This window comes from Homo sapiens, chromosome 3 (genome assembly GCF_000001405.40).
Source record: "Homo sapiens chromosome 3, GRCh38.p14 Primary Assembly".
Taxonomy (NCBI): domain Eukaryota; kingdom Metazoa; phylum Chordata; class Mammalia; order Primates; family Hominidae; genus Homo; species Homo sapiens.
Window position 1 is genome coordinate 148,599,481 of NC_000003.12, and position 12,854 is coordinate 148,612,334.

Sequence of the window (12,854 nt, forward strand, 5' to 3'; positions counted from 1 at the left end):
ATGCATTCTGTTGATGCATTATCATTAAAAAGTTTTCTGTGGGCTAATAAATCAAATTAATGCCACCTTAAAAGTTGATGCTCCTGGGGTATTACACTTAGCTATCTTTAGCGCTCACCTCTCTGATCAGCAGGATCTCAAAGCTCAGTTGTTTCTCCAGCTGACCTAACTTCAAAACGCCACACCCAACTTTCTAGCTGCCTTACAGCCTGCACACCTCAAAGTTCATATTTCCAATTGAACACGCTAACTCCCTCTCTAGATGCCCGACCTCGTCTGCACACCTAGTTTCTTTTCCTCATGCTTTCCACACTTTGGTCAATGGCACCAAAATCTTCATGTTTATACATGACAAAACCCTGAGAATTATATTAGTGAGCTCCTTGTTTCTTATCACCCAGATATCATTTTTCTTTCTTATGATCTCTATATTCCAAGCCTTCCTCCTAAGTCCTGCTGCTCTTCAGGACGTTATTATTTCTAATTTAGAGGATGCCAGTAGATTCTCCACTAGCCTCCTTGTCCTGTCTTCCCCGCTCCTGCCCAGTCTGTTCCCTAGGGCTATTGGTGGGGTATCTCTCACTGCAGATCTAATCACACAGATCCTTAGTAAAATTCTTCAGTGGTAGCTTATACCAGCTTATGTGGTTCACTGATCATCTGTTTATTTTGCCAGGGTTTTCAGTGTTTAAAGCTAAAGTGAACTGTTCTTTAAAATCAGACATTTGACACAAATATCCATATTTCTGGCTTCTCTAGAAAACTCAGTCTGACAGCACTGGGCACTGCATTTCCAACTTGGTGGCAATCAGCTGAGGCTAAGTAGAAAGTGCTGAGGGGGATGATGCCCTCTCCAGTTCCCAATAATTTGTGTGATACACTTGTACTTACCAAACCACTTCTCCCCACCTGTTTGACATTTGATGGCATAAGATATCACTTGATTTTACAGCCCCTGGCCTATCCAGACCCTACCTGAGGCTTTGACCTAATAAAATCTTTTTAAATTGTTTCTTTGTATATAAATCACAGCTTTGCCTCTCAGTTCATGTACCTCTCAGTTCACGTTCCTCACCTACAAGAAGAGGAGTGAAGACCAGATGGTCCCCAACTCTTCTAACTACAAGGACATGGTTGGGAAAATAAATACCCTGACTTCACATTTCTTCCTCCCTCCAGTCTCTCACTAGAGCTATTCATTAACTAAACCCAATCAGAAGCTCTAGAATGGATGGTTCAGAAGCATTTAAAACCCAAAATAAACAATGAGGAGTCTCAGCATTTAATTTATCAAAATTATGATTGTGTCCCCTTTTAGAAGCAATGCTCCCTAGAACCTTAAATTCCATAGACACAAAGTTATGGGGACAGGAATCAAAAATTCTACCAGTAGGCTATTAGGTAAAATAGTGAGAGCAGCCAATCTCATCTCCATTCCTTTGTCCCTAGATGTTATATTCTGACTGTGTAGATAGAGTCAAATATTAGCTGCTGGCTTAAGGGGTATTAGCTGCATCTTGTAAAATGGTACCAAATCTCACAGAGTATGTTTTTAGCTCGCACTGTAGCTGAGCTTCCTCAGGACATTGTACTCTTCTATCAAGGTAAGTGTTTTGGCCTTAACGCAAATAAGATCAAAGTGAATTCCACTGGCATCAGTCCAATGTCTCACTTCCTTTGCTTTAAAACAAATCTCCTGGTCAAAGGTAATGTTTTGTGGATTGCCATGGATACAGCAATCTGTAATCCATGAATCAAGATGCTGGCAGAAGCCAGCAGGAAAGGCAGATCTGTTCCTGAATACACATTTGTCCCTGTGTGGACAACTGCTGCCTCCTCCATGATGAGCAGGTTGCCAGCCGTTCCCTTAATATGTGATGCAGGAACTCATTGCTGTCCTCTCTGCAGTCAAATTGCACACTCAGTTGAGTGTCTAGAAGCCAGATCAGCCTTGATGAGAGCAAGATTCTGTTGTTGAGCTCACACATAATCTCCATTCTTGATGTCAGGGCCACTTTGTAGTGGACCCATCCAACAGGCACTAGTGTGCTGGAATAAGAAGCTGTCTGACATCCATGATGGGATCAATTATCTACCTAATGATTAAAAGCCCTCACAGATGAAGCCCTTGGGTAAGCATTTACATGAATCACAAATGTGTTGCCCTCTGTGCCCATTATAATAGATCCATCTATATACCTGTTCCCTAGACCTCCTTTGTCACCAAAAGTGTTCATTTCAAATTCATGACCAGTCGACCAGTTCATTAGCCACAGTTTATGAATCAAGTACATTCATACATTAAGCCATCTTTCCTTCCAGAATAAGAGTTCAGCCACATGGACCACCCAAAGCTCTACACATTGTGGTGAGTTCCTTTCACCACTATTTTTCAGGGCCAACTCTGAGTGGGTCTTTAGTTCAGTAGTTCTGAACTACCCTTCTGGATCATGAGAATTCTAATAGTGTGAGACAGGAGGAGGCAGAGTCCTGTTTTCCTTACTTTTAAGCCCCTAACTCATCCAGATCGTACAATGGCTTCTAAAATTTCTCTTGGATTTATGAAAAGTGCAGTATACACACACCACTACACATACACAGAAGCCCACACCAGCCTTGGCCTTGAACTAGAACGTGTTGTTTTGGAAATATTTCTTATTGAATAGCAAGTTTGTAGCACTAAAAGCCAACTAGAAATTAACCTTTCCCCAGCAGTAGAAAAAGGCAACATAAACATTCTTTTGGAATTACAGATTTAAAAAGGAATTAAACATTGTTTTAGAGCTAGGTTGGTTTCCTCTTCCCCACTTCTATTGTCAGTGAACTTACTCTGACTGGAAAGGATAGCACTGATGTCAAGGAAAGCAAACAGCACCCACTCATGTAAACAATCTCATCTGTAATTCATTAACCCTGCTACCCTCAGCCTCCCAGGAAAAGTGTCTCATTTATTAGCTTCCAATCCTAAGTTCATGTTTGTCTTTCAGTTCTGGGACATTATTGAGCAGTACAGGAAAGAGATGTTCAATTACTGGTGACATTTTTTACGTGGAGTTGCCAGTTTACACCAGTGGTACAGATTGTTTACTAAATTATTTTCACTTTTGATGGATTAGATATCTCAGACTCCTCATTATTTATATTTCTTACCCATTGAAGAAAGTAGAAAAACACATATTACTAAGGTACCCCACTCTTTCTCATTCTACTATCTAAAACAAAAGAAGCAGAGACCAAAATAGCAGTGGCAACTGGAAAACAGCAAGGCCTCCCACAGCCTGGGATACTATTGGTATTTGAGACAACTCTCGATGGTATGCCAGACAATATCAGGTGGTACTCTAATCAGGCAAATAATGGTATCAGAAACCTATAATGAGAAAATTATTTTCTTTTCTAATTTGCTTCAATCCTTTAATTTCTTCAGTAAAGAAAGTCTCATTTGGGGGCTAGCCTTTAATATCTAATGTTTTAACAGAGAGAAAGCAAGCTTCAGGCTTAGAACATTTGGTAGTCAACAACATCTAGCTAGAACTTACCAACGTTATTATTTTTTCATTATCTCTTTATGGCAATTGATACTGATGGTATAGTAGTGATAATGAGATTTCTCTTTGATAAATTTTAAAAGTAAGTTGTTTTAAGAAAAAAATGTTAAGTAAATAATAGTACAAGTGATACATGAATACAGTAAAAATCTCAAAATGTGAATACAAATAAAGAAATTTTGAAAACACTGTTAGAGAAAAAGAAAGATTTAATAACAACTTAGTCCTGAAGTTAGAATTCACTCAATATCGGTGAGGGTTTGTGTATGGGCTGTGTGTGTATATGGATGTATGTGTATATAGGAGGGGAGCTGGAAGTTTTGAACTTTCTGTTTCCCATTTCCACATGCTGAAAAGACTATGTTATTGTCACATTTTCCTCTGTGCAAATATATATGCACACATTATATGAATATATACACATACAAAAACACATACCTGCACATATTTCAGAGATGTTTGGTAGCACCGGCTCTCTACATTGCTAAATTCTGTTTTTTAAAACTGGATGTGTTTGTGCCTAATATATACATCTTTTTTTTTCTTACTATTTACAATCATATTTAATCCTGAAAGTTCATTCTGAAATATCTGTCAGTTCTTTCAATTAAATGTATTATACAGTTTCATGAACATTATGTCCTTGACTGTTTCTGTTTATTCACCCTCTAGATTGCCTTCTACTTAGAATTTTAGGCTTAATAAACTCATTTTATTGAAGTAAATGTGTCTGGAGATTTTGTTCTTCAGGAAGAATAGAGGTAATTAGGATTTTGTGTGTAGGAATAGAAGAGCCTTCATTAAACTCAGTAGTCTTATTCAGCTGAGATTAATGGCTAAAAATTATATTTTGCTGCAAATTATTTATATTTCTTATGCAGTCATGCAAATTATATTATTTGTTAATTTTACATAAAACAACTATGTAGACAGATAAAGATGGGGCATTTATACTTATGTAGAATCAAACATTTCTTTTTCAGTGTTGAAAACTGTAATAGTAAAGTATAATTTTTTCTAAGGATTATCACTTTGCTAATTTTTCACTTTCTGACATTCCATTGCATCTCCCAGCAATTACTGACACATTTTCCACTGGAAATGTTCTCACTAGGTTACTAAATGCAGATATTTCCTAAGGCACAACATATTTTTTTCCTTCCATGGATTCTTGAATTGGAGATAAAATTGTTGTGGCATTTGAACACAAGTTACTGTGTAAATAGATACCTTCTAGAGTTGCTTTTGGATTATTGAAAGTAATTTCAGTTTTCACTCATTATCATTAAAAAAAAAAAGAGGATAGTTTTGCCACATGTGCATAAGCCCAGAAGGGATGCTGTAAACTCTGAGGAAATCATTAGTAATCAGCAGGGCGCAGTGGCTCATGCCTGTAATCCCAGTGCTTTGGGAGGCTGAGGTGGGCGGATCACTTAAGGTCTGGAGCTCGGGACCAGTCTGGCCAACATGGTGAATCCCTGTCTCTTTTAAAAATACAAAAATTAGCAGGGCGTGGTGGCACGTGCCTATAATCCCAGCTACCTGGGAGGCTGAGGCACAAGAATCACTCGAACCCAGGAGGCAGAGGTTGCAGGGATCTGAGATCATGCCACTGCACTCCAACCTGGGTGACACAGTGAGACTCCGTCTCAAAAAAAAAAAAAAAAAAGAAAGATTAGTAATCGCGTAGAATAAACAGATGTACACTTTGGCAAGCATTGAATCTTATAAAGACAAAAGAAGTTGGTCAAGTTTATTCTCATGTTCAAACTTTTCATGCTTTGGTACAAAGCACATTTTGCAAGGCACTTTTTTTAGGCATAATAAATGTGTTTTGATATTGAATCTGTGTTTTGAATGTTACAGCTGTAATATCCTGGGACCAGGAATTACTTGTTACTCATCATGTAGATATTTTTAAGCAAATACTCAGCAACAACAACAAAATAGTATGGCAATCATGTATTTTTTTTGTCTCCACAGACATTTTTTTTTCACTTAAAGGACAATTGACATGGCAAAAGCATATCATTCAGAGAATTCTTTACCTGTAAAATATAACTTTTTCAATTAAATTTTTAAATATTATATTAAAGTATAACTTTTATGACAGTCTATTAAAGAACAAATTAAATGCTTCTTTTTAACAAATTAAATGCCTCTTTTTACAACTTACAATGTAAATTTTTGCATTTATTTTAAAATCCAGTTTTTCTATATGCAGCTATCATAACCTATTTTTGTTTTTCAGATCATTTTGCAACTTAAGATTCACAAATATTTTAAGGAACAAAGAAATATCATTTTTGGAGTAACTAACAAAACTGCTGAATAAGAAAGTACTTTTTAAATAAAAGAGAAATTTTGTAATAAAGTCAGAATCATATAGACATTAAAATAAAGCTGAATACTGTCAAAGCCTGTCACTTTCTCTTGGCATTAAGATAACAATGGAAATAAATTAAATAAACAGACAAAGATGGTCCTCAAGGCCATGTCAGCAGCCAATAGTTTGAGGCCCTTATATCTGAAGACAGATTTTCTAGAAAGAGATGTAATGGAATTAACTTGGCATCCAGATATCTTCCAAGAAACTTTTGCTCTTAAATCTTGCTATAAAATTAAAATCAAATTGCAAGTTGAAATACTAGTTAAAATGAAAGAAAATCCCAAAGGACTGGAATTGGCTCAACCTATGTTATTGTGAGGTTTTGCAATGCCATTTTTTACAAATATGAGAAAATAATTTTTCAGGGCTGGTAGAAGATAGAACATTTTGTTTTACATTATTTATCTGCTGTTGAAAAGAAGACTTATTCCAAAAGATTACAAAAACTATTATAAAGCAAGGGTAGTGCCAATATGAATTATTGCTCCAGGCATTTAAAGCTATATTTGGGGAAGGAAATCTTTACTTATTTTATCCTGTTAAGAAAAAAGATTCAATATAATCTGAAGTGCCATTTGATGTGGAGTCCTCTTGCAAATGTGTGCTGTCAGGCTGCTTTTTGTAATTACTACCTACCTTCTTGTCTTTATCACAAGCAGATTTTACCATTTTTCTTTTCATTTTTTTCTTTTGCATGTGCTGTTTAATCACATGCTGATTAGCATTTTAATAGTTCAAAGTCAGGCTCATGCTTCCAGTTCAAGATAGTTGACTAGTATGGGCATTTATCTCTCTTCCATACCAAAATTTGATTAAAATAAAATTTTAAATAATAATAGCAACTAAAACAACGATAGCTAATTTCTGTTGAGTACCAACTATGCCAGGCACTCTTCTGCGTGTATAGCATTGAATTCTCAGGATCTCCCATTTTACAGATATAAAAGTAGAGGCATAAAATAGTTAAGGAACTTGTGTGGAGTGGTAAAACAGTAATTGGAGGAGCCAGAGCTTGAATCCGGGCTTATGAAGTGAGCCCCTATGCTGCACTGCCAGTTAAGATATGAAAAAAGAGAAGAAATCATTACATGTAATGAAAGTAAGAGTGGCCCCTTCAGTTGATGAAAATTTTGGAGAATTTCTGGGAGACAGCAAACAGATTGGAGAAAATACAATCATATCAGGAGGAGAGAGCTATGGAATATTTAATCTAAGAAATATCTACAATACACTTAGACTAACTAGCCATCATCATGCCCCCAAAAATACAATGCAGCTGCAGAATTTTTCCTAACCCTAAAGCAGCCTACTATATTAGCCAGGGTCCAACCAGGAAATGGAAATGAAGTATTTACCACAGGCAGAATTTAATACACAGAACCAATTACCCAGGGGCTGGTGCTGCTGAGAAGCCACACTGGGGATAGAAGGCAGAAACAGGAAGCAGGATGGAGTTGGTATCCCTGAAGACAAGGGGTCGGGTCACTCAGCAGCAATTTAAAGGCAACCTGTCCAGGGAAAATTGATGCTATTTCTGGAGATACCATCCAAGATAAACAGGTAAAGAGGGAGGAGGAAAAGGTGTTTTCATCATCCTTTCCCATATCTCAATCTGCTGCCTCTGTGTCCCATTGGCCAAATCCAGCCAGAACCATCTTGGGTGAAACCCAGGAAATGTAGCCTGCTGCAGTCAGTCTTCCTATGATACAGAGCAGAGCAAGGGCAAGGAATGATTCTGAGCACACAGGCTCCAGACCAGCAAGGATGTTGCTAAATAAAGTAAAAAGGCCTTCCTGGCAAGCAATCCCAGCATGGGTGTTAGGGCCAGAGATAAACAGAACAGAGCCTGACATAACCCTGGATTCCTAACATCATCAGTCATGGGGGACTAAGCTCACCTGTACTCAAAAAGGAAGACCTTAGCCTCCTTCATTCCAAGAAGACAACTTCAGTGTAAACTGGCCCACATAACTGCAGAGGAACCCCAATATTAGTTGTCCAGAATTATCAAACTAGTTATTCCTTCACAAATATGAAGAGACAACTGAGAGTCAGAAAATATCTGACTTTCTGAGCCTTACAGCTGACCTTAAGACTGGGAAAAATGAGCAGTTTAGAAGAGAAGGATCGTGATAAATAAACAGAACCCCTAACCCTAGAGGAAACAATGATACTGCAGAAGGAAAATTTTATTAATGTACATATTATAGAACTCACCCTTTTAAAGTGTATAGTTCAGTAGTTTTCAGTGTATTCACAGATGTTCTCAATCATCACAACCTAATCTCAGAACATTTTCCTTATTCCAAAAAGAAATACTGTACCCATTAGCAGTCACCCCCCATTCCACCACTACTTCCAGCCCATGACAACCACTAATCTACTTTGTCTCTGTGGATTTTCCTATTCTGGACATTTCATATGAATGGAAACACACAGATGTACATTTTGTGACTGGCTTCTTTCTCTTAGCATAAAGTTTTTTTTGTTTTGTCTTGTTTTTCATTTTTCCATAGGTTATTGGGGTACAGGTGGTGTTTGATTACAGGAGTAAGTTCTTTAGTAGTGATTTGTGAGATTTTGGTGCACCCATCAGCAAAGCATTATACACTGCACCCTATTTGTAGTCTTTTATCCCTTGCCTCCCTCCCATTCTTCCCCCAAAGACCCCAAAGTCCATCGTATCATTCTTATGCCTCTGAGTCCTCATAGCTTAGTTCCCACATATCAGTGAGAACATACGATGTTTGTTTTTCATTTCCTGAGTTACTTCATTTATAATAATAGTCTCTGATTGCATCCAGATCACTGTGATTGCCGTTAGTTCGTTCCTTTATATGGCTAAGTAGTATTCCATCATATATATCTATATCTATATACGGATAGATAGATACCACAGATTCTTTATCCACTCATTTATTGATAGGCATTTGGATTGGTTCCACGATTTTGCAATTGTGAATTATGCTGCTATAAACTTGCATGTGCAAGTATCTTTTTCATATAATGACTTCTTTTCATCTGGGTAGATAACCAGTAATGGGATTGCTGGATCAAATGGTTGTTCTACTTTTAGTTCTGTAAGGAATCTCCACACTGTTTTCCATAGTGGTTGTACTAGCTTACATTCCCACCAGCAGTGTAGAAGTGTTCCCTGTTCACCACATCGACGCCAACATCTACTGTTTTTTAATTTTTTTATTATGGCCATTCTTGCAGGAGTAAGGCGGTAATGTATTGTGGTTTTGATTTGCATTTCCCTGATCATTTGTGATATTGTGCATTTTTTCATATGTTTGTTAGTCATTTGTTTATCTTCTTTTGAGAATTGTCTATTCATGTCCTTAGCCTACTTTTTGGTAGGATTGCTTGTTTTTTTTATTTTCTTGCTGACGTGTTTAAGTTCGTTATAGATTCTGAATATTAGTCCTTTGTCAGATGTATAGATTGCGAAGTTTTTCTCCCACTCTGTGGGTTGTCTGTTTACTCTGCTGACTGTTCCTTTTCCTGTGCCAAAGCTCTTTAGTTTAATTAAGTCCCAGGTATTTATCTTTGTTTTTATTGCATTTGCTTTTGGGTTCTTGGTCCTGAAATTCTTGCCTAAGCCAATGTCTAGAAGAGTTTTTCCAATGTTATCTTCTAGAATTTTTATAGTTTCAGGTCTTAGGCTTAAGTTCTTGATCCATCTTGAGTTGATTTTTGTGTAAGGTGAGAGATGAGAATCCAGTTTTGTTCTCCTACATGTGGGTAGCCAATTATCCCAGCACCATTTGTTGAAAAGGTTGTCCTTTCCCCATTCTATGTTTTTGTTTTCTTTGTTGAAGATCAGTTGTCTGTAAGTATTTGGGTTTATTTATGGGTTCTCTGTTCTGTTGCATTGGTCTATGTACCCATTTTTATATAAGTACTATGCTGTTTTGGTGACTATGGCCTTATAGTATAGTTTGAAATAAGGTAGTAAGATGGCTTCATATTTGTTCTTTTTGTTAGTCTTGCTTTGCCTATGTGGGCTCTTTTTTGGTTCCATATGAATTTTAGAATTTTTTTTTCTAATTCTGTGAAGAATGATGGTGATATTTTCATGGGGATTGCATTGAATTCGTAGATTGCTTTTGGCAGTATGGTCATTTTCACAATATTGATTCTATCCACCCATGAGCGTGGGATGTGTTTCCATTTGTTTGTGTCATGTATGATTTCTTTAAACAGTGTTTTGTAGTTTTTGCAGATTGAAAATTTTATTTTTTATTTTATTTTATTTTATTTTTTTGAGACAGAGTCTTGCTCTGTTATTCAGGCTGGGGTGCAGTGGCATGATCTCGGCTCACTGCAATCTCTGCCTCCCGGGTTCAAGAAATTCTCCTGCCTCAGCCTCCTGAGTAGCTGGGGTTACAGACACACACCACTACATCCAGCTAATTTTTGTATTTTTAGTAGAAATGGGGTTTCGCCATGTTGGCCAGCCTGGTCTTGAACTCCTGACCTCAGGTGATCTTCCTGCCTCAGCCTCCCAAAGTGCTGGGATTACAGGCATGAGCCACCATGCCCGGCCTGCAGAAGGACAATTTTAAATAATTCTAAATTAATTTCAGAGAAAATAGCACCTGCATCCATAAAACTGGAATAGACTGCTATATATATACATCTACATTCATATATATATACACACACACATACATATATATTCATATATATATATATATATATATAAATATATGAAGCAGTCAAAGAAAAAGAAAATGTTCTTGGAAAGGAGCTCATAAGGTTTTTTCTACATAAAAATTTCAGTGAAGAAGAATCACGAATGAACATTGCTAAAGACCAAATTAGTGCCATGCAAGATAAGATTGAATAAATCTTTTAGGGAAAAAACAAAAACAAAAACATAGAAATGGAAAATATAAGAGAAATGGTAAGCTCCAGATAGACTAAATAGAACTCAAGAAGATAAGGATAATAATAATAAAGTAACACTAGTAGAAGAAAACTTCCAAAGCTTAAAAGACATGAGTCTTTATATTGAAAGAGCCCACCAAGGCACAAGCAAGAAAAAAAAAAAATCGGAGGTGGAATTCCTGAAAGCAAACAACTCAATGGAGCTACTGCAATCAGAATAGGGGTGGGCTACAAGACAATCATCATCAGGATATTTAATAAATGTTTATACTACATCTACACTAATTAGCCATTCTGGACATCTAGACATTTACTGAATTCAGTGAAGAGGGAAAGCATTCTGAAAACTTCCAGAATGTTAAAATTTGATATCAACAAAGAAATGGGAATCAGAATGACATCAGAATTCTAATCAACAGTACTGGGTCCCTGAAAAAAATGGAACAGTGGCTTCAAGGTTTTGGTGGGAAATTACAGATATGGATTTAGAGATACTTATAGGTATACATATGGACATAGATATAGACAAATTAGATGTAGACATAGATATAAATATAGATAGCATAAAAACAGAGGAAGGATATGCCTTATTAGAGAAATCTTTTCTCTCGGTTAGGACTGGTAACCTGTTTATGCTTACTTTTCACTGCACTGAGCAAACTCCCACCTCACCTATATGAACTTGTAGAACAGTCTGTGGTGTTCTCTTGAGGAATTCTTGCTTTCTCTAAGCATATTTCTTGTTGCTCGCACATTTCATTAATAATTTGATTAAAAATTGGGTGCCTTAGTTGAAAGTAAGCATGGAGCTGGCTTGTGCCTCTAAGGAGATTTGACCTAGCCATTGCTGAATAGCAATCTACATCACATTATGGCAAGCTTAACCAGTGTTTTTAGTAATATAGACGGTAATAACTTCTTTTTGGTAATATAGATGTCAAGGAAACAGAGGGAAACCTGGTTCCCCAAACTCAGGCTGATGTACTTAGACTGACTGACCTTTTAAAGTCTGTTGTACATCATAGTTTTGGAGGATCTAGGTCCCAGCGAAAAAGGTGCTGGGAGTTCCTGGATCCCTTATGCCCCTGTGTGTAATTGCAGGTAATTTCTACCAACTCAAGTAATTTCTCTTATACTCCAAGAAACTCACTAGTATATACTTTAAAGTGCTTTATAATATATGAAATACATAGTTATTATATAAAATATAGAAAGTAGAAAGCAGAAATCAAAAATTAACCATAATTTAATCACTTAGAAAAAAATTAGTTATTTTATTGTGTCTGTCCTGTGTTTTTCTTAGAAATGTAAGACAACACTTCTTTTCACTTAATGCTAAAATTTATATCCTTCCATGCCAAGAAACATGCCTTTACAACATCAGCTTTTACTACTGCATAGTTCTCTATTATATGGATATATCAAAAGTAATATAATACAAAGGCAACCTGTAGAATGGGAAAAATATTTGCAAACCATATCTGATAAGGTATTGACATCCAAACTATATAAGAAACTCATATAACTCAATAACAACAACAACAACAAAAAGGAAACCCACATATAACCCAATTAAAACTGGGCAAAGGACCTACTTACAAATGGCCAACAGAATATTTTTAAAATGTTCAACACTATTAATCTGGGAAATGTAAATCAAACCACAATGAAATTTCACCTCATACCTATTAGGGTAGCTATTATCAAAAAGTCAAAAGATAATTTTCAGCAAGGATGTGGAGAAAAGGGAAACTTTATACATCGTTGGTTGGCACGTAAATTGGTACAGTCATTATGGAAAACAGTATGGAAGAGTCTCAAAAAATTAAAATAGAGCTACCATATGATCCAGCAATCCCCAATTCAGTATATATCCAAAAGAAATAAAATTACTGTTTCAAAGAGATATCTGCACTTCCATGTTAATTGCAGCATTATTCACATTAGCCAAGAAAAAGAAACAATGTAAGTGTACATCAATAGATGAATGGATAAAGAAAATGCTAATCTTATACATCTAT

At 36.4% G+C, this 12,854-nt stretch overlaps 2 annotated features.

The window, feature by feature from the left end:
• Positions 2,834-2,978: an enhancer, noted in NCBI's record as "145 bp enhancer 244 fragment used in the MPRA reporter construct; PK_construct_295". NCBI's record gives its function as "activates an SV40 promoter by MPRA in HepG2 cells {active_cell/tissue: HepG2}" and the evidence as "EXISTENCE:reporter gene assay evidence [ECO:0000049][PMID:23512712]".
• Positions 2,900-2,913: a transcriptional cis regulatory region, noted in NCBI's record as "HNF1 motif; enhancer activity is reduced when this motif is scrambled". NCBI's record gives its function as "necessary for full MPRA enhancer 244 activity {active_cell/tissue: HepG2}" and the evidence as "EXISTENCE:site-directed mutagenesis evidence [ECO:0005528][PMID:23512712]".